We start from the raw sequence: 17490 nt of genomic DNA on the forward strand, positions 1-17490 counted from the left end.
AGTATTTATACAGGATAAATTTCAAGAAGTAGAATTACAGAATCATAGGATATAAAAATATCAAATTGGCAAATTGGCATTCACGTACCTGTGGTTGGACTGCACTTGTTACATACTTCCCTCTGAGCCTTCCATCCCCACCTCGAGCTAGTGCTATATGTCACTTAACTCAGTGACATCATCATCAACAGACTTAGCCTCTGCAGTTGAAAATGCTAGAGCAAACAGAGGAGAAAATTTACTTGTGAATCATAATAGCTAACCTGTACTGAACAGTTAAGCCATGTGCCAAGTATTATTCTAAGCACTTTACAAGTATTAACTCCTTTAATCTGTATAACCACACCCAGAAATTTGTGCATTATTATACTCATTTTACTGCTAAGAAAACTGACACCCATAGGATTAAATCAGATCACACATTTAGTAAGGGCACCAGGATCTGAAGCAGGATTGTTTGACTTCTGAGTCTGTGCTCTTAACCACTGCACACACCGTCTCTAGAAAGTTTAATGCCATCTTTATGCCAAAGTTTATCTACCTGGTTTATCCTTTAACACTATTATTGTATTTATTCATTTACTTGTCTTTTCCTCCCACTGTGCTGTAACTCTTTGAGAACAGGGTACTTGTCCTAATATTATTCATATTTATATCCCTAATTCCTAATTTAATGTCTAATTTATTGTAAATAAGTTTTTTTTTTTTGAGACAGAGTTTTGCTCTTGTTGCCCAGGCTGGAGTGCAATGGCACAATCTCAGCTCACTGCAACCTCTGCCTCCTGGGTTCAAGTGATTCTCCTGCCTCAGCCTCCCAAGTAGCTGGGATTACAAGCTTGCACCACCACGCTAGGCTAATTTTGTATTTTTAGAAGAGACACAGTTTCACTATGTTGGTCAGGCTGGTCTGGAACCCCTGACCTCAGGTGATCTGCCTGCCTTGGCCTCCCAAAGTGCTGGATTACTGGTGTGAGCCACATGCCTGGCCTTGTAAATAATAAGTTTAGTTGAATAAATAACAATGCCTCCGGGAGGTAGCTATTATATCCATTTTACAGATGAAGAAACTGTAAGTCAATGTTAATCAAATAGTATCCTAGAAAATAGTAGAAAGCAGAATGCTGGAGCTGAGATTTGAACCCAAGACTTTTGATACTTCGTCCAGTGTGCTTTCCACCATGCCTAAGTAGTCTCCTTCACTTCCTCCTTCAGAGGGCTATGGAGAGTAACCTAGCAACCATTTCTAAGCTGGAAAATGTCACAGCCGGAAGTCTTCAGTCCCCTAGAAGGAAAAGAGCCTGATGGGGAGAGGGTCCTTGGAAAAGAGAATTTCTGGAAGTACTACATTTGAGAATAGGTGGTTAAAGTGGGAGTTGGATTAGTAAAGGAATACTGCATAGTAGTAATACCCATTCTTTATTTCAGAATTTCTTCATGACAGACATTGATCTGTGTGATTTATAAGCCTTGTCTCTTTTTAATGTTCACAATCCCATTAGATGGTTATTGTTATCTTTGTTTTGCATATGAAAGAATGGGAGCTAAGAGGCCAAGTACCTTGCCTCTTATTCGTTCAACGAATAAGTGGTGAAGCAGATTCCAACTCAAGTCTATGTTACCCAAGAACCTACATTTTAAGCATTTTGTTACCCCCTGGATATGACAGCCAATGAAGAGGGGGTATTTTGAGAAGAGACTATAAAGGGAAATTGCCTTCCCTACATCCTGGGGGACCTTATCAACCAGGAAACAAGGTAGAGAAAACTGTGCAGCCTGAGCCCTGCTGGGTTGCGGGGGGCTCACAGAAAGAAGAAATGTGATTTTTTTTTAGCTAACTACGGAGACCAGCCATTCCAATGTTTGAATCTGGGTTCGCAGCACATGATGTCTTTATACTCTTAACCTAGAAATGGCAGAGTTATTTTGGGCACAAAGCAAGAGCTGTGGCTTTAAAAATATGCCAAGTGTATTTATCTCTTCCGCTCCAAGATTACTGAAAATTAGCCCAGCTGTAGCTTGGGACACCAAACAGCCAAAAAATCTTCTTCCAGCTCAACTCATTCCACCCAAAGAGGGTGAAATACCCAGGAGTAGCAGCTCTAGCGGCCTCTGGGTAGTGGTATTAGATTGGCCTCCCCATTGCTAAGCCTGACATCCAATCACACACACACCACTCTCCCAGCTGCTCTGTAGATCACAATGCTAGGCCTGTGAATGGAGCTCAACTCCGTCTCTTCCCTCATCCCCAAGGCTTCACAAGAAGTAAACAAAACAAACAAAAACTATTTGATTATTGAGCCAAGGAGTCAATGTGAGAATAGTTTTTCACCTTCATTATCAAATGCCTGTGTGGAGCTGAATGTGGTGGCTGACACCTGTGATCCTAGCACTTTGGGGAGGCAGAGGTGGGAATATTGCTTGAGGCCAGGAGTTCAAGACCAGCTTGGGCAACACAGCAAGGCCCTATCTCTCTCTCTGTCTCTCTCTGTCTCTCTCTCTCTCTCTCTCTCTCTCTCTCTCTCTATATATATATATATATATATATATATTTTTTTTTTTTTTTTTTTTTTTGAGACAGAGTTTTGCTCTTGTTGCCCAAGCTGGAGTGCAATGGTAAGATCTCGGCTCACTGCAACCTCCTTCTCCAGGGTTCAAGTGATTCTCATGCCTCAAACTCCCGAGTAGCTGGGATTACAGGTGCCTGCCACCATGCCCAGCTAATTTTTGTATTTTTAGTAGAGACAGGGTTTCACCATGTTGGGCAGGCTGGTCTCGAACTCCTGACCTCAGGTGATCCACCTGCCTCTGCCTCCCAAAGTGCTGGGATTACAGGCATGAGCCACTGTGCCTGGCCCCTATCTCTGTATATTAAAAAAAAAAAATCTTAGCCAGGCATAGTGGCGCACACCTGTATTCCTAGCTACTCAGAAGGCTGAGGTGGGAGGATCACTTGAGTCCAGGAGATCCAGTCTGGCAGTCAGCCATGACCTCACCATTGTACTCCAACCTGGGCAACAGATATAGACGCTGTCTCTAAAAAAAAAAATCCTGTGTGATTTAGGACAAATTATCTTGCTGTAATTTAAGCCTTCATATTCCTTTTTTATAAAATAAATATGCTTTAAATATGTATTTAGATATACACTTATAATAATAGCTTTAATTAATTGTAATTAAATCATTTAAAATTAAATACATGCAAAATACCCCATAAACTGTCTAATCCATAATAAGCAATCAATAGTCCTTAAACAAATGAATCTTCTGTTGCTCTGATCTTAATAAGTAAAATTTAACGAGTTTTTACTTTGCACCATGCACTTATGCTATGTGCTGTATAAGGATAGTTACATTTAATCTATAAATCAACCCTATGGGGCGGGCACTCTTATGAACTTTTTTTACGGATGAAAACTGAGGCCCAGAGATATGAAATAATTTGCCAAACATCACCATAATTTACATGATGTAGCCAGGTTTAAGCCTACTATTCTGATTACAGAGCCTAAGATCCTACAGAGAACAGGGAGTATATTTTTACATTCCCTTGTTTCCATGGAAAAGTCTTTCCACTGTCAATTGAAGGACTAAGCAGCAGCGGGGAAGTGCTGGAAATGCTAGCCCAGGTGGGCTTAGCTTTCTCCCTCTCTCTCTGATCCTGGACAGGATTTGGGTTTCAGACCACGATTCTCCTGTGTTTTGTGGGCTGTGATTACTCAGATTAGGTTTGCCCAATTCATAAAGGACTGGCGGGGGTTGGGGGTGAAGGTGTGGGAGAAGGCGGAGCTTGTCCAGTCGGTCCAACAAACCCCACAGATGGCGAAATAGGGGGCGGGGAAGGAGCTTGAGATATTTTACAACCTGGGCTGTTTCAGTGGTTGATGGCGGATGGTTTTTGCCTTTTGGTCAGCCTGAGTATATACTATCATTCTACAATCGGCCAAATTCTGACAGAGAGGGAGACAGAGAGAGAGGTTGATTAAATTGATGCCCAAAACCAAGAAGGAGCAAAGAAATCGGGGCTGTTTGAAAAAGACTGCAGTGGCTGACTTGGGTGGTGAGCGGAAATAAGGAGGAGGGAGAGGCGGGGTGTCTCTGCGCGGAAAGCCTGGAAGTTCACTTGCAAACACAGAATCTGCACAGCCTTCGGTGCCCTGACTCTTTCCTGGGCATCCAGAGGCAGCAGCAGCCGCCAGCGCCAAAGAACGAGCAGTCCAGGGGCTGGGCCGGAAACGGCTATAATCATTTAATAGCCTTTGCCGGCTGCACTGACTTAGCAGAGTGGGCGGTAGGCAGGCTCCAGAGTGCTGTCTGGCAAGATAGTCCCCGGCTTTAATCAAAATGATGGGTTTTCTGGAAGCTCTTTATTAACCTCAGCACTGAAATCCCAGAGCTGGTAACAAAGGGATGAATGGGGAGCAAAGGGGCGGGGCCGAAACCTGGAGGCCGGGCTGCATCCGCACCCCTTCCCCCACCTCCACTCCTTTCAACTCATTCTGGCTTAGGGCTCCTGCTGGCATCTCTGTGCCTCCCAAATAGTAGTAACAAAACAGGCAATAACCATAATAATTGGCACATTTGTATAACGCTTTAGCATTTTCAAAGGATGACCTTGTTATACAGCTCAGGATCTGAGTCTCCTAGCTGGAGTCAGACTCCCTAGATTTGAGTCCCAGGATCCACCAGTTAGTGACCATGTGACCATTAGTCCTTAGTCCCCTCATCTATAAAACAGACACATAACACAGACAGAGATACTAGAAATGTCTACTTCATAGGGCTCTTGTCAGGACCAAAACCTATACGACGTGCAGATTTGTTTAACTCTGTTGCACACACATAGGAAGGGCACAGTAAATGTTAACTACATCGACAACCCTGTGATGTAGACAGGAAGGGGATCATCTCCATTTTATGGATGAGGAAACTGAGGCTCAGAGATATTTATGTAAATGGCCCAGGACTATGCACTAGTGAGAGAACCAGGGCAAGTCCTCAAGAACAGAAAGAGAACAAAGCAAGATGAAGAGAAGATCAGAAAAGTGAACACCCTCCAACACCCTCCAGCACATGCCCCTCTGAGAGCTTTCCTGAAAATAGTATCCTTGGTCAAAATGAGTTTATGTTCTATTAGGGAAAGTCAGTGTAAATCAGAAAAGCCCTCCTGGCCTTAACAGAACAGTTCCAAATGCAGATGAGGGTGAGTTTAACAGGCCTGGCATTTGCTTCACAATCTTCTGGCCCTTTCCTGGCATTTGCCTTGGCAAAGACTCTGACCTGATCAATCCTAGTCCCTGAGGCTCAACTCCATCAACTCAGGCAGCCAGGGTTAGTTTAGCATGAAAGAGGAAAGCTGGAAATTTTGCCAAAAAGATTCCTGGGCAGTGCCTAAGGGAAGTGCCCAAATTGGATTATAGGATTACATGAAGTGGCCAGCTACTTCCAGAGGGCAGGGTTTTTTGTTTGTTTGCTCTGTCACCCAGGCTGGAGTGCAGTGGTGCAATCTCAGCTCACTGAAACCTCCGCCTCCCGGGTTCGAGTGATTCTTATGCCTCAGCCTCCCAAGTAGATGAAATTACAGGCGTGCACCACCACAGTCTCGCTAATTTTTATAGTTTTAGTAGAGATGGGGTTTCACCATGTTCCCTAGGCTGGTCTTGAACTCCTGGCTTCAAGTGATCCACCTGCCTCAGACTCCCAAAGTGCTGGGATTTTAGATGTGAGCCACCATTCCCGGCCCCAGAGGGCAGTTTTTAAAGTAGAAGTGAAGATCTGTATGCATTTATTAAAATATATGTTGTTCTGATTTTAAAATATATCCCTACCAATTGTGAAGATATCGGCTAATCCAATAAAAAAGCAAAACCATATTTTGTATAATTATGGTCGTATTCTGTTAAATAAACTTTTAAATCCTATTGGGTTGTAATCTGTAGTCTGGGAAGGGCTCTGCCTAACGATTCAGACCCCTACCAGATTTATATGTGTCTGAAATCCTCCTTCTAGCCTCTTAACAGGCCCATTCATTTGGGTCTTGACTGCATCCTCAGTCTTGTCTTTGCCTGAGGGTGAGCTAGGACCCTGGGAGCATAAGGGAGGGGACTTGCCGGAGATCCTAGAAGGGAAAGGAGGCAGCACTGAAAGAAGAAACATTTCCTTGATTGATCATTTGCTGATACTGGCCCCTGGTTGGGGTTAGGGGTAGAAATGTGCTTCTTCCGTTTTCATCTTCTTCAAAAGGGAGTATCTCCATGATTCTGCCCCAAAGGCATGACATTTTATAGGCAAAGCCAGCCAAGTGTCTTGAGTGCTCTTAACCAAAAGGAATTCAGATTAGGAGGTCAGTCAGTGTTTGTCAGATCCTTAAGCTTTTGTTTTACTGGAATGAGTCACAGTCTACATGCTGCTGAGCTCTCAGAGATGTTTGTTTTATACAACAACCAGAACAGGTGAGGCACAGTGGTCTGTGAGGGACTGGAGAGACCACACCTTGTTCTGCTCTGCGGAAGCTGGACATGTGGAGGAGGCACCTGACTAGATCTCTGCCTCCTGGAGTTTAGGCTGAGTCATATAGAACCAGGAAGCTCAGTGACATGTTAAAGTGGATTAACTCTTGGCAGTCCTGCTGTGAGGGGCTCCCTCTGCCAATACACACAGCCATTAATGTCCTTTAACTGTGCAAGATGAACATATCTCTGTGTTCTGCATCTCCAGATGACAGTGCTTAGGCCTCATGCAGAGTCCTGGTTATGGTTGAAGAAAAATTTCCATTTTGGGCTCTGAGGGCAACTAAAGGACTGTGGAGTGGTGCTGAAACCCAGTTTTAGGTGCCGAATCAGAGGTTTTTAAATACATTTCTCTCTTTTGTCTCAGTCTCTTAGAGACAGGACCTGTATTTTAAAGGTAAACAGGCAGATTCTGGCTGAGCTCAATTGCAGATTTGATTAACTTAGATAGATCAAAGTCATTAGTCTCAGAGAAAAAATTTGTTTCTCATCCCTAAAGTGCTATTGTGTCAGCTCTGCCAGGGTGTAAGGAAAAGGGTTTGGAAGAGAGAAGAAAATTTCTTACCCTCTCTCGTCACTGCCTGCTGTAAATTTGCAGTATCATTATCTTGGTCTCCTAAGCCCTGAGAGCTGCATTATATATAATTGCCCATATGTGATACCATTTACTGAATTCTTGCATTGTGCTAAGGATCAAGCTTAGTACTTTACATGCATTACATCATTGTCTTTAGGGACCCCAAAAGTGCCTCATTGGAGAGTTGTTTGGTCTGCTAAAGAGTGGGTACCACTTTCACTTCTCACATCAGTCCTTTCATTCATTCATCCAGCAAGTATTTACTAAACACCTGTTATGGGCCAGGAATTGTGCTAGGCACTGGTGATACATTGGTGAATAAACAGATACATTTTTTGCCTTTGTGAATCTTACAGTGGTAGAGAATAATAGGCCAAGGGGGTGCTGCTTGGCTAGGAATGTCATAGAATGCCTTTCCAAGGAGGTTACATTTAATACAGACTTGAAGAGTGAGGAGTCATGCTAAGAATGGATGAGAGGCTCACGCCTGTAATCCCAGCACTTTGGGAGGCCGAGACGGGCGGATCATGAGGTCAGGAGATCGAGACCATCCTGGCTAACACGGTGAAACCCCGTCTCTACTAAAAATACAAAAATTAGCCGGGCATGGTGGCGCGTGCCTGTAGTCCCAGCTACACAGGAGGCTGAGGCAGGAGAATGGCGTGAACCCGGGAGGCGGAGCTTGCAGTGAGTCGAGATCGCGCCACTGCACTCCAGCCTGGGCGACAGAGCGAAACTCCGTCTCAAAAAAAAAAAAAAAAAAAAAAAAAAAAAAGAATGGATGAGAAATCATTCAAGACAAAAGCAAACCAGATGTGTAAAGATCCTGAGGCAAAAACAACTCCAAGGAGCCAGGTATGGTGGCCTGTAGTCCCAGCCACTTGGGAGGCTGAGACAGGAGGGTCGATTGAGTCCAGGAGTTTGAGGTTACATCAAGCAATGATTGCACCACTGCACTTCAGCCTGGTTGACAGAGTGAGAACCTATCTCTAACAAACAACAATAAAAAAACAATTCCAAAGAGTGTTTGAGGATCTGAAAGAAGGCCTGTATGGTTGGAGTATAATAGTAAGAGGGAGATTTGTAGATGAGAGTGGAGAAGAAATAAAAATCAGATTATTGAAGGGACTTATGTATCATGGTAAGGAGTTTTTTTTTTTTTTCTCAAGGCAGTAGAAAGCTTAAGCAGAGGAGTGATATAATCTGATTTATATTTTTAAAAGAGTTTGCTATATGTATGTTATGCCTCATTTTTTTTTAAATTTTTTATTTTTAGATGGAGTCTTGCTCTGTTGCCCAGGCTGGACTGCAGTGGCACGATCTCAGCTCACTGCAAGCTCCACTTCCCGGGTTCATGCCATTCTCCTGCCTCAGCCTCCTGAGTAGCTGGGACTATAGGCGCCCACCACCACGCCCGGCTAAGTTTTTTCTATTTTTTAGTAGAGACGCGGTTTCACTGTGTTAGCCAGGATGGTCTCAATCTCCTGACCTCGAGATCTGCCTGTCTCGGCCTCCCAAAGTGCTGGGATTACATGTGTGAGCCACCGCGCCTGGCTGTTATACATCAGTTTTTAAAGAGAGACATTAAGAAATAAAGATGACTCTGGCTACTGTGTGGAGGGTTGGAGAGAAGCAAAAGTGGAAGCAGACTGAATAAGGAGACTATTGCTGCAATTCATATAAGAGATGATGGTGTCCTGAAAGAGTGGTGGCAGTGAAAATTGGGAGAAGAGGACAGAGTCAAGATATATTTAGGAGGCAGAAATGACAGGTCTTGATGATGTATTATAAATGGAGAATGAAGAATAGAATAGAGAAAAATGAATAATTAGCTTTGAACTTTCTGGCTTGAGAAATGGGGTAAATGGGGTGTAATTTACTGAAACTGGAAAGATTTAGAAAGGAATAGATTCGAGGAATCAAGAGTTTGATTTCAGATTTCTTCAGTTTGGGATGCCCATGAGATTTCCAACTGGGGATACCAGATAGGCAGTTATACATGAGATTGGAGCACAGAGAGATGTGGGCTTAAAATATAAGTCTGCATCTCATCAGCTTATTCATATGGTATTTATATCTATGGATATGGCTGAGATCCCAAAAGGAGAGAGTGAAGAGAAAATAGAGAAGAGAGTCTAGGGCCAAACCCAAGGAAGCTTCAACACACAGATGAGGAGACTGACAAAGGAAACTGTCAAAGAACAGTCAGAGAGAAAGGTCAGGAGAATGTTTTGATGGTGGGGGCCAGAATATGCTGTCCCAAAATAAGAAGGATTGTTGAGCTGAAGGCAAGTTAAAAGAAGCAGATACAGGCTGGGTGCAGTGGGCTCATGCCTGTAATCTTAGCATTTTGGGAGGCTAAAGTGGACAGATTGCCTGAGCTCAGGAGTTCGAGACCAGCCTGGGCAACATGATGGAACACCATCTCTACTAAAATACAAAAAAAAAAAAAAAAAAAAAAATTAGCCAGGCATGGTGGCATGTGCCTGTAGTCCCAGCTACTCAGGAGGCTGAGGCACGAGAATTACTTGGACCTAGGAGGCAGAGACTGCAGTGAGCTGATATCTCGCCACTGCACTCCAGCTTGGGCAACAGAGCAAGGCTCTATCTCAAATTTAAAAAATAATAATCATGATAATAATAAAAGAAGCAGATATAGGAGAGGTCTTCTGCCCTCCCTGTATTTGCCTAAAAAACCATAAATTTACAAAGACAAAAGTTATCCTACTTCCACCTCCCTCCTCTGCCTCCCACCACCAGGGAGAACAAAGGTTAACCACTGAAGATAACTTTGGACTCTTATTGGCCTGGAAATGGTACTGCTTTACAAATTAGCCTTTATCTGCCATTCATTTGCCTTCCCCCAAGTAGCTACCCATTAGAGACTCAAAGTCCTTAAAGGTCTTTTCCTTTGTCTTACACTTCTTTAAAAATTTATTGTTCTTTGTTGAAGATGCTATATAAGCTGGAATTCTAAGCCACCTTTTTGAGAACTGCTCATTCTCTGGGTGTCTGTCATGTATATATGAAATGTACATGTTAATAAACTTCTGTTTCCTTTTTTTTCTTGTTAATCTGCCTTTTGTAACAGGGGTCCAGTCCATCTAAGAACTTATTGGGGTTATTCTACATGACAAAGAACTCATGAGAATAAGTGTTTCAAGAAGGGGATGACAAATGCTGCTGAGAGGTTTGATAAGATGAGGACTAAAATGTGACCATTGATTGTGGAAGTAATATAATGAACTTGACATGAGTTATGTTAGAAAATTACTGCTCAGGGACACCAAATTAGAGGAGACTGAGAAGTAATAGGAAATTGAAATAGCAGTTGTACCCAACCCTAAACTGTAATTGAACATAAACAGTTTATTTGATGGAGCTTTTCACGTGTCAACCAAAGGAGCAGTGTTAGATACATAAACATTGCTATGATGTCAGAGTTCCAATGTCATGGCCACTGGGATCACTTTGCCCAGACAGACCATTACCCTTCCTCTCCAGCTCTGACTTCTACTCTTCTAGAAGTCACTGGTATACTTTATGGTGTGTCTTCCAATCAGACTCTTGGGAATGTCTTTTATTGAAAACTCCTGTGGATGCATAATCATTTTCCCAAGACTCAGGGCAGATTTCACCTCCTCTGGAACCCCATTAACTTTCTCAAGTATAATTAACAATTTCTTCTTCTGGAGTCCCACAATACTTTACATATACTTTAGTTATTGCATGTATTAAGTTGGTTTCTAGTTGCTTGAGTGTATGTCCAACTAGACTGTGAGCACACTGAGGGAAGGAATTTGGCTTGGAAAGTAAAATTGGCTCCCAGTGTTTTATCTAAACAAATAGGCTCAATTTACAACAGGATTCCATCCTCTTACGCTGTGTATTCCCATCTCTTCCATGCTGCATCCCACCACCCTTCAATGTTATTACAATAAAATTAAGATCAAATAATTTATTCAGCTAATTTTTCTTGTTTTGGACAAAATAGACATCCTAATACATTTATAGCCAAAGTTTAATCTAGACACTAAAAGGAGCATATTTTGCCTTTAGGCTCTGTATTTCCCATCCCGTTCCCAGTCAAGATAATCACAACTGTATTCTTTAGGAAATTCTTCACAAAGAACCAAACATATGTTACTATGAAACTAGATTCTTGGTATCCTGGTGAAAAAACCTGCCCTCTTGCTTGTCTGTAAATACTGGCCTTGGCTGGGTGTGGTAGCTCATGTCTATGATTCCAACACTTTGGGAGGCCAAGGTGGGAGGATCTCTTGAGCTTCAGTGTTTGAGACCAGCCTGGGCAACATAGTGAGATCCCATTTCTATAAAATTTTTTTTAAAAAGCTAGCCTGGCATGGGAGCTTGTGCCTGTAGTTCCAGCTACTTGGGAGGCTAAGATGGGAGGATTGATTGAGCACAGGAGGTCGAGGCTGCAGTGACTGCATTTCAGCCTGGGTGACAGAGGGAAATCCTGTCTCAAAAAAATTAAACAAATAAATAAATAAGTAAACACTTGCCTTGCCCTCAGACTTGAACAAACAACTCGTGATTTTTCTGGGGAGGTTCAGCCTGCCTATGCAGTACTCCTGTACTCTACCAGCAGTGTGGCATCAAGAGCATGTGTTGACCCTGTTAATGATTTGTAATGTTTTGTCTTTCAGAACCAGAGGCAGGAGAAGTGTCCCCTCCAGTCGGTGCGGGTGTCAACAGCAACAGCTGGACCTTTAAATACGGACCAGGCAACCCCAAACAATCCGGTCCCGGTGAGTTGCCCGACAAATTCATTATCCCAGGATCTCCTGCAATCATCTCCATCCGGCAGGAGCCTACTAACAGCCAAATTGACAAAAGTGACTTCATAACCTTCGGCAAAAAGGAGGAGACCAAGAAAAAGAAGAAAAAGAAGAAGGGTAACAAGACCCAGGAGAAAAAAGAGAAAGGGAACAGCACGACTGACAACAGTGACCAGTGAGGTCCTCAAATGGAAACAAGCCACTTAGCCAGTTTTTGTAATAATGGCAAATCTCTCCCATGTAGCAATTCCCTGCTCCTTTTTCCTATCTACATGAGCCCTCTTAGAGACCTCAGAAATCTGCAGAAAGTTCCCTGTGTCTGTCTAGAACGCATTTAACAGGTTTTGTCGTAAAAGCTTTACTAAGTCTGGTGTTAACTCTTTCTCTCCACTCTGGCTTGTTTTCAGAACCTAAAAAGCAGACCCAAGTTTCCTTTCTCCTCCGCCGCAAAGGAGAGGCTTCCCAGCCCCGCCAGTGAGAGGTTGGACTCTCTGCCCTGTGCTCCGGGGATCCTGTCTTGATGACACTTGCAGGGCAGGCTGAAAAGTTTTGAGATTGAGCAGCTTGGGAGTTTGTGGCCACTGGGTATGTGTGGCTACCGCGGGTATGCGAGTGCCAGATATTGGCTGAGACGAGCCAGCTTAGACTAATTGGTACAAGGAAGGCAAGAAAACAAAGACAAATAAACAGCGGAAGTTATCAGTATGGAGGGGAAGTGTAAACTTAAAGGGACCAGACTTTCTAAATCTTACAACTCAAGAGGTGGCAGCCACCCTCTAGGAGACAAAACTACCCCCACTGACAAGGCTTTAGGAGACCCTAAAGTCTGTTGGCTGTGACGTCATTATACCTAAAATCTGCATCATACCTGCAAGCCAACAGTTCAGTGTTTTAACAGAGAACCACCCTGGGAAACAGAAGCAGATCTGATGTGTTTCCTATACATGTCCTGTGCTCACTTTATTAAAAATTCTTTTGCACACAATGTTTATGAAAAGGCCAGATCCTTTTCCAATACTTATGCAAAAGCAAAAGAAAACCCCGACACCTCACCTTTCGCTGTTTGTTGTTTCATAGATTTATTTAAAAAAAGAGAAAGTCTATAGCTATAAATCTTTAAAGAGAAATATGAATACAATTCCCCTAAACTCTCCTCAAAAGAGAATTCAGTCTACAGCCATTTAAATGATCATTGCTGCTACAGAAGTGCTTTAAGAGAATTGCCTGAAACATCTGTATTATATCGGCCACCTGCCAATCACAGCTTTACTCTTTCAGGTCACTCTGGGGCTGCCTCTTGCATGTATTACTAAATAAAATGATCTCTCTTTCTCTCTCTCTCTCTCTTTTCTAAGAAACAATTATGTGCACTTTGATACACAACCTTCTCTAACCAACTATATATCAAGACCCAAAAATTGAAGAAAAATATTGTTTTCTCATACAGTGAGCAGATTTTTCAATCTACTAATTCTGTGACTTGTCTTGGTGTGCTAGCCTACACCTTCTCTTTGGTTTAGTTTTCCTTTTCTATAACACTCTGAATTGCTAATCTTACTAACACCTATGATGTTACCTGAAATCAATCTCCCATATGTATGCTGTATGCTATGCTAAGACTCCTGAAATATACTTACTCTGTGCTTGTGTATGTGAATGTTAATGCAACTATTACCTAGAGTGAACTTTAAGCTTTATTGTTGAATGTAATTCCATTATATTTCCTTTTGTACACCTGTGAAAAAGTGGAGTAGTGTTTTTTTAACCATTGTTAATCAGCTTTTGTGTATGAAAGACACAGTAAAATTTCTTTCTTAAATCAAGATACTGGTGATTCAAGGAATTTTATTTATGGTCCAGCCAAGAGCCATCTCGTGCCAAGACTTCTGCTGGCAAGGGAATGGATAAAGCTGTTTTGTTCTAGTAACAATTTTGGAATGAATACTGACAATATTCCATGAGGGTGTGCAAGCACAAATTTTACCAATCTGACCTCTTTGAAGTTGCAGAATGCTTTGAAATTCTAATGGTATCTGAAATATCAGCTCATAGAAAGTAACAAAATTTGCTGTCACCTTAAATAAGACATTTTAATTTTGTTATAATGTACAATTTAGAAGTTTGATTAATTATATTATCTATTTAGGCATTAATATAAAAGAGGTAGGAGTCTGTTATTTAAAAAAAGCATTAAATTTAAAAAAAAACTGTCTTGTCTACTTTTAGCTTCATTCTCCCATATTTTGAAGGGTGTGTAACTTCAGCTCTGCAGGATTGCATGGGGTAAAACTTGTTACCAACACATGTGAACCATTGCTACATTGTAGGTTGTGATCATTTTGCCCCACTGAAGCCCATGTATCTGACCTTACGTGCCTTTTGAACTAGGAGAATCGGGCTAATTTATTAATGATGATAATTATAATGTATCTGTACAGCACTTTTTACATTTGCGAAGTGCTTTCCAATCCATGTTAGTTACTAGTTATTACAGCTGTAAGGATAAAACACGTCATGTGGATTCATTTTGAATTGGTGCTATTGGTATTTCCTCTGTTATTGCTAATAAATGAAAATGGTGGTATGAAAGAAATGGTGGTCATTTCTAAGAATAGGAGGAAATAGAACACTGATAAGCAATTAATACTGAAGAAGATTGCTGCAGTATGAAACTCACTGTAACACTCTCTTATCACGTTAGCTTTTATGTCCATTACTAAGGCAAAAGCCCCAGTGGAATCAAGATTCAAACTTCATATCATTAGAATGGGCAGCCAGGAGGTTGCTGCGTCACTTTGTAGTTACACTATTTCAGTTTTCTCTAATAAGAATTGCAACAAACCCATTTTTATCACAAGAGCCCTTCTAGGCATCTTTTTCATTACTTGTTTAGCCCTTGCACCTCTCTACAATTGGAAAGCCAAGTGACACCCCAAAGAAATGAACTTTTAGGTCAGGGATAGTGGCTCTTGCCTGTAATCTCAGAACTTTGGAAGGCCAAGGCCAGAGGATGGCTTGAGGCCAGGAGTTCAAGATCAGCCTGGGCAGCATAGCGAGATCCCATCTGTACAAAAAGAAATAACTTTTATTGAGTACAGGGTGTATGCCAGCCACACTACTGCATAGGTTCAGCTGTGACAAATAGATTGTTTTGTCCTTTTGTAGTTAAATTTGTATAAATATAAGCTTTAGATGCTGTAGGTTCTCAGTTAGGAGCAATTTTGCCCTCCTGGGGACATTTGGCAACGTCTGAAGTCATTGTTGCTTTTCATTACTTGAAGTGGAGGGTGCTATTGGCATCTACTGGGTAGGGGGCAACGATGCTGTGAAACACCTGGCAATGCACAGGACAGCCCCCTATAACAAAGGATCTTACAGCCCAACATGTCAATGTCTCAAATCAAGATTGAGAAACCTTGAGATAGAGTGACCATATAATTTGTGTAGTCCACTTTTGAAATGGAACAGGAGACACCATTCGTTATTACTTCAGGATTCAAGATGTAAACTGGGACTGTCCCAGGCTAACTGGGATTTATAGGGACTCTATAAATAAACTGGTATAGCTGTGCCACTAACTAGATGGGGAATTTGAGGCAAACCACTACTTCTCTCAGTTTTTCAGTCATCTCTAAACTGGTCATAATTATAATACAGACCTTATAGATTTGTGAGGTAATCTTAAAAGGTTTTAGCAGGTCTGGCACACCATAGTACTCAATAAATATTATTATTTATTAATCCTTTTCTTCCATTTCCTTACCCCCTTTTCAGAGATTTAGCTATTAGACCCAGGGAACTTTTCCTACTGACTAAAATGTGAATGAGGGATGGCCAAAAAAATCAACATAGTCTTGGCAATAAAAATATTTTATTTACTCCTCCGCTCTTTTGCTCACCCCAGGAGGAAAAGAAATAAAGTCAGTTTCATAACTCCTTACCTATTTCTATCATAATAATAATCAAATCCCTAAGTAGTCAAGTGGCCAGTCTGTTTGCAGCTATTTCACCTCAATTATTGGTGATCTGAAAGCCAGAAACCAAAGGGTTTGAAGTACAACAGCTTGAGAGAGAAAGAGAAGAGTCACCTCCAACAACTTCTTTCGGCAGATGAGCAAAACAGAAATGCCAAATTACCCACAGACTTGCCTGGGATTTCACAGGCAATAAAGGACAAGACAGGTGCATCTCTCTCAAGGGTCAGGCTACTTGATATAAGTCTCACATATACAGAGTGCAGGATTCATTCTTTAGAAATATTGCAATTGATCTAATTTTAAAGGATGAGATTCTCCAATGAGTGTCTAGAGCCTTGGCTTTGAATTTTAGGCTCCTAGGTAAGATTGTAAGTGCCAGGATCTCATGTTAATGTATTTTACGTTTAAATTATAAACATTATGTTTGTTATAAACCCCAATCTAAAGTACAAATGTAACTGACCAAACACTAATGCAATTTTACTGTTAAATCTAGATTTAAAAACCATGCAAACATTAAGAGATACAATAAAACAAGTAAACAAACAAAACTACAGATACAGTTCCTCAAGACTTTCAGTCCCTGGAGCTTTTCCAGGAAATGGAAATGGAAATAAGTTGGCCACTCTTTGACCTATTTCATCATATTTTCATGTGCTTCCTTTCCTTGTAGAAAAAGCTGATTATGTTATTTCCCTCAAAATTACCTTGACTGTTGGCTGGCAGGACACAACTTGCAACCTGAGAAATTTCTTCTGGCTTTATGCACACACACACACACACGCGCACACACACACGCGTGCGCACAGTCATACGTGCACACACGCGTGCACACACATGCACACGCACACATGCTGACACACATGCACATGCACAGAGGTTCTTACTGTAACTAGGAGGGGGCTTTAGCAAATGAGCATGGTGCTGTCCTCCTTTTGAAACTGTGCCTAAGAGTGGTACATAGCAACCTTTTTGTTATAATCAGTCAGGTAAAATGTTTGCTGGGTCCCATTTTCTCTTGGGGTTGATCCATTGGGAAATGCCTGCTGACGTATGAAATCTTAAAAGTTTTTTGCCTAATAAAGTCTATCACCTTGTCTTTGAACTTAAGCTCCTCTGAGCTGGACACTAGTAAATTTACTTTCATAATATGAGTCTAGTTTGCATAAAGAAATAAGAAAGAGTAGGTAGTGAAAAACATAAAGTCCAGCATTTTGTTAGGTTACACAATTGTCGGGTGACTTGGGGATCATCAATCCACAAAGAACATGAGCAAGTCAGACAACCACTCAGCCAGTAGCTGGTCTTAGAGCAGAGCTAAAACAATTGGCACCCGAAGCATAAATATATGGGAGACTGACACAACAGTTCTCGTTTTAGAGTTTGCTTTCACTAGACTTACTTTATTTAGTTTTATGTGAAATTGAATTTTTATTATAAAAGGTAATACGTGTTCTTTAAAATAAATCAAATAAACCAGAGATATATAAAGAAAAATTATTAATCTCACCATCTTCTTTCAATTCTCTCTTACATGGGTATCCAATTTTAACAATTTCAAATGTGTTTCTCTGCATTTTTCTCTATACACACACATTTATATCACATACACATAGTTTTAAAAATAA

General features: G+C 41.5%; 15 protein-coding genes, 1 gene segment (V, D, J or C) and 1 further gene, besides 4 other annotated features; all 17 read left to right on the forward strand.

The window, feature by feature from the left end:
- Positions 1-14471, forward strand: part of PCDHA@ (protocadherin alpha cluster, complex locus) — a 226209-nt gene extending 211738 nt beyond the window's left edge.
- PCDHACT (protocadherin alpha constant) overlaps positions 1-14471 on the forward strand; it is a 33396-nt gene extending 18925 nt beyond the window's left edge. The window contains exon 3 of the C gene segment in view: positions 11754-14471. The product of the transcript in view is annotated as a protocadherin alpha constant (C gene segment).
- PCDHA1 (protocadherin alpha 1) overlaps positions 1-14474 on the forward strand; it is a 226208-nt gene extending 211734 nt beyond the window's left edge. For both annotated transcript variants that reach the window (NM_018900.4, NM_031411.3), the window contains exon 4: positions 11754-14474. In NM_018900.4, coding sequence (NP_061723.1) covers positions 11754-12064 — 311 coding nt within the window. In that variant the 3' untranslated portion in view covers positions 12065-14474. The remainder of the gene's footprint in view (positions 1-11753) is intronic.
- Positions 1-14474, forward strand: part of PCDHA2 (protocadherin alpha 2) — a 217496-nt gene extending 203022 nt beyond the window's left edge. The window contains exon 4 of the mRNA NM_018905.3: positions 11754-14474. Coding sequence (NP_061728.1) covers positions 11754-12064 — 311 coding nt within the window. The 3' untranslated portion in view covers positions 12065-14474. The remainder of the gene's footprint in view (positions 1-11753) is intronic.
- Positions 1-14474, forward strand: part of PCDHA3 (protocadherin alpha 3) — a 211291-nt gene extending 196817 nt beyond the window's left edge. Inside the window, exon 4 of the mRNA NM_018906.3 lies at positions 11754-14474. Coding sequence (NP_061729.1) covers positions 11754-12064 — 311 coding nt within the window. The 3' untranslated portion in view covers positions 12065-14474. The remainder of the gene's footprint in view (positions 1-11753) is intronic.
- PCDHA4 (protocadherin alpha 4) overlaps positions 1-14474 on the forward strand; it is a 205280-nt gene extending 190806 nt beyond the window's left edge. Inside the window, exon 4 of the mRNA NM_018907.4 lies at positions 11754-14474. Within this exon, the coding sequence (NP_061730.1) occupies positions 11754-12064 (311 nt within the window). The 3' untranslated portion in view covers positions 12065-14474. The remainder of the gene's footprint in view (positions 1-11753) is intronic.
- Positions 1-14474, forward strand: part of PCDHA5 (protocadherin alpha 5) — a 190735-nt gene extending 176261 nt beyond the window's left edge. The window contains exon 4 of the mRNA NM_018908.3: positions 11754-14474. Within this exon, the coding sequence (NP_061731.1) occupies positions 11754-12064 (311 nt within the window). The 3' untranslated portion in view covers positions 12065-14474. The remainder of the gene's footprint in view (positions 1-11753) is intronic.
- Positions 1-14474, forward strand: part of PCDHA6 (protocadherin alpha 6) — a 184388-nt gene extending 169914 nt beyond the window's left edge. For both annotated transcript variants that reach the window (NM_018909.4, NM_031849.3), the window contains exon 4: positions 11754-14474. In NM_018909.4, the coding sequence (NP_061732.1) occupies positions 11754-12064 (311 nt within the window). In that variant the 3' untranslated portion in view covers positions 12065-14474. The remainder of the gene's footprint in view (positions 1-11753) is intronic.
- The window catches only part of PCDHA7 (protocadherin alpha 7), a 178079-nt gene extending 163605 nt beyond the window's left edge, over positions 1-14474 (forward strand). Inside the window, exon 4 of the mRNA NM_018910.3 lies at positions 11754-14474. Within this exon, the coding sequence (NP_061733.1) occupies positions 11754-12064 (311 nt within the window). The 3' untranslated portion in view covers positions 12065-14474. The remainder of the gene's footprint in view (positions 1-11753) is intronic.
- The window catches only part of PCDHA8 (protocadherin alpha 8), a 171161-nt gene extending 156687 nt beyond the window's left edge, over positions 1-14474 (forward strand). The window contains exon 4 of the mRNA NM_018911.3: positions 11754-14474. Coding sequence (NP_061734.1) covers positions 11754-12064 — 311 coding nt within the window. The 3' untranslated portion in view covers positions 12065-14474. The remainder of the gene's footprint in view (positions 1-11753) is intronic.
- Positions 1-14474, forward strand: part of PCDHA9 (protocadherin alpha 9) — a 163966-nt gene extending 149492 nt beyond the window's left edge. The window contains exon 4 of the mRNA NM_031857.2: positions 11754-14474. Within this exon, the coding sequence (NP_114063.1) occupies positions 11754-12064 (311 nt within the window). The 3' untranslated portion in view covers positions 12065-14474. The remainder of the gene's footprint in view (positions 1-11753) is intronic.
- PCDHA10 (protocadherin alpha 10) overlaps positions 1-14474 on the forward strand; it is a 156451-nt gene extending 141977 nt beyond the window's left edge. For both annotated transcript variants that reach the window (NM_018901.4, NM_031860.3), the window contains exon 4: positions 11754-14474. In NM_018901.4, the coding sequence (NP_061724.1) occupies positions 11754-12064 (311 nt within the window). In that variant the 3' untranslated portion in view covers positions 12065-14474. The remainder of the gene's footprint in view (positions 1-11753) is intronic.
- PCDHA11 (protocadherin alpha 11) overlaps positions 1-14474 on the forward strand; it is a 143391-nt gene extending 128917 nt beyond the window's left edge. The window contains exon 4 of the mRNA NM_018902.5: positions 11754-14474. Within this exon, the coding sequence (NP_061725.1) occupies positions 11754-12064 (311 nt within the window). The 3' untranslated portion in view covers positions 12065-14474. The remainder of the gene's footprint in view (positions 1-11753) is intronic.
- PCDHA12 (protocadherin alpha 12) overlaps positions 1-14474 on the forward strand; it is a 137040-nt gene extending 122566 nt beyond the window's left edge. The window contains exon 4 of the mRNA NM_018903.4: positions 11754-14474. Within this exon, the coding sequence (NP_061726.1) occupies positions 11754-12064 (311 nt within the window). The 3' untranslated portion in view covers positions 12065-14474. The remainder of the gene's footprint in view (positions 1-11753) is intronic.
- PCDHA13 (protocadherin alpha 13) overlaps positions 1-14474 on the forward strand; it is a 130224-nt gene extending 115750 nt beyond the window's left edge. The window contains exon 4 of the mRNA NM_018904.3: positions 11754-14474. Coding sequence (NP_061727.1) covers positions 11754-12064 — 311 coding nt within the window. The 3' untranslated portion in view covers positions 12065-14474. The remainder of the gene's footprint in view (positions 1-11753) is intronic.
- PCDHAC1 (protocadherin alpha subfamily C, 1) overlaps positions 1-14474 on the forward strand; it is an 86049-nt gene extending 71575 nt beyond the window's left edge. Inside the window, exon 4 of the mRNA NM_018898.5 lies at positions 11754-14474. Coding sequence (NP_061721.2) covers positions 11754-12064 — 311 coding nt within the window. The 3' untranslated portion in view covers positions 12065-14474. The remainder of the gene's footprint in view (positions 1-11753) is intronic.
- Positions 1-14474, forward strand: part of PCDHAC2 (protocadherin alpha subfamily C, 2) — a 45872-nt gene extending 31398 nt beyond the window's left edge. The window contains exon 4 of the mRNA NM_018899.6: positions 11754-14474. Coding sequence (NP_061722.1) covers positions 11754-12064 — 311 coding nt within the window. The 3' untranslated portion in view covers positions 12065-14474. The remainder of the gene's footprint in view (positions 1-11753) is intronic.
- Positions 3460-4054: an enhancer, noted in NCBI's record as "NANOG-H3K27ac-H3K4me1 hESC enhancer chr5:140380918-140381512 (GRCh37/hg19 assembly coordinates)". NCBI's record gives its function as "activates a minimal SCP1, AML or CMV promoter by ChIP-STARR-seq in naive H9 embryonic stem cells {active_cell/tissue: H9 hESC(naive)}" and the evidence as "EXISTENCE:reporter gene assay evidence [ECO:0000049][PMID:30033119]".
- Positions 4055-4648: an enhancer, noted in NCBI's record as "OCT4-NANOG-H3K27ac-H3K4me1 hESC enhancer chr5:140381513-140382106 (GRCh37/hg19 assembly coordinates)". NCBI's record gives its function as "activates a minimal SCP1, AML or CMV promoter by ChIP-STARR-seq in naive H9 embryonic stem cells {active_cell/tissue: H9 hESC(naive)}" and the evidence as "EXISTENCE:reporter gene assay evidence [ECO:0000049][PMID:30033119]".
- Positions 4649-5242: an enhancer, noted in NCBI's record as "OCT4-NANOG-H3K27ac-H3K4me1 hESC enhancer chr5:140382107-140382700 (GRCh37/hg19 assembly coordinates)". NCBI's record gives its function as "activates a minimal SCP1, AML or CMV promoter by ChIP-STARR-seq in naive H9 embryonic stem cells {active_cell/tissue: H9 hESC(naive)}" and the evidence as "EXISTENCE:reporter gene assay evidence [ECO:0000049][PMID:30033119]".
- Positions 6431-7023: an enhancer, noted in NCBI's record as "OCT4-NANOG-H3K27ac hESC enhancer chr5:140383889-140384481 (GRCh37/hg19 assembly coordinates)". NCBI's record gives its function as "activates a minimal SCP1, AML or CMV promoter by ChIP-STARR-seq in primed H9 embryonic stem cells {active_cell/tissue: H9 hESC(primed)}" and the evidence as "EXISTENCE:reporter gene assay evidence [ECO:0000049][PMID:30033119]".

This window comes from Homo sapiens, chromosome 5 (assembly GCF_000001405.40).
Source record: "Homo sapiens chromosome 5, GRCh38.p14 Primary Assembly".
NCBI classification, from domain to species: domain Eukaryota; kingdom Metazoa; phylum Chordata; class Mammalia; order Primates; family Hominidae; genus Homo; species Homo sapiens.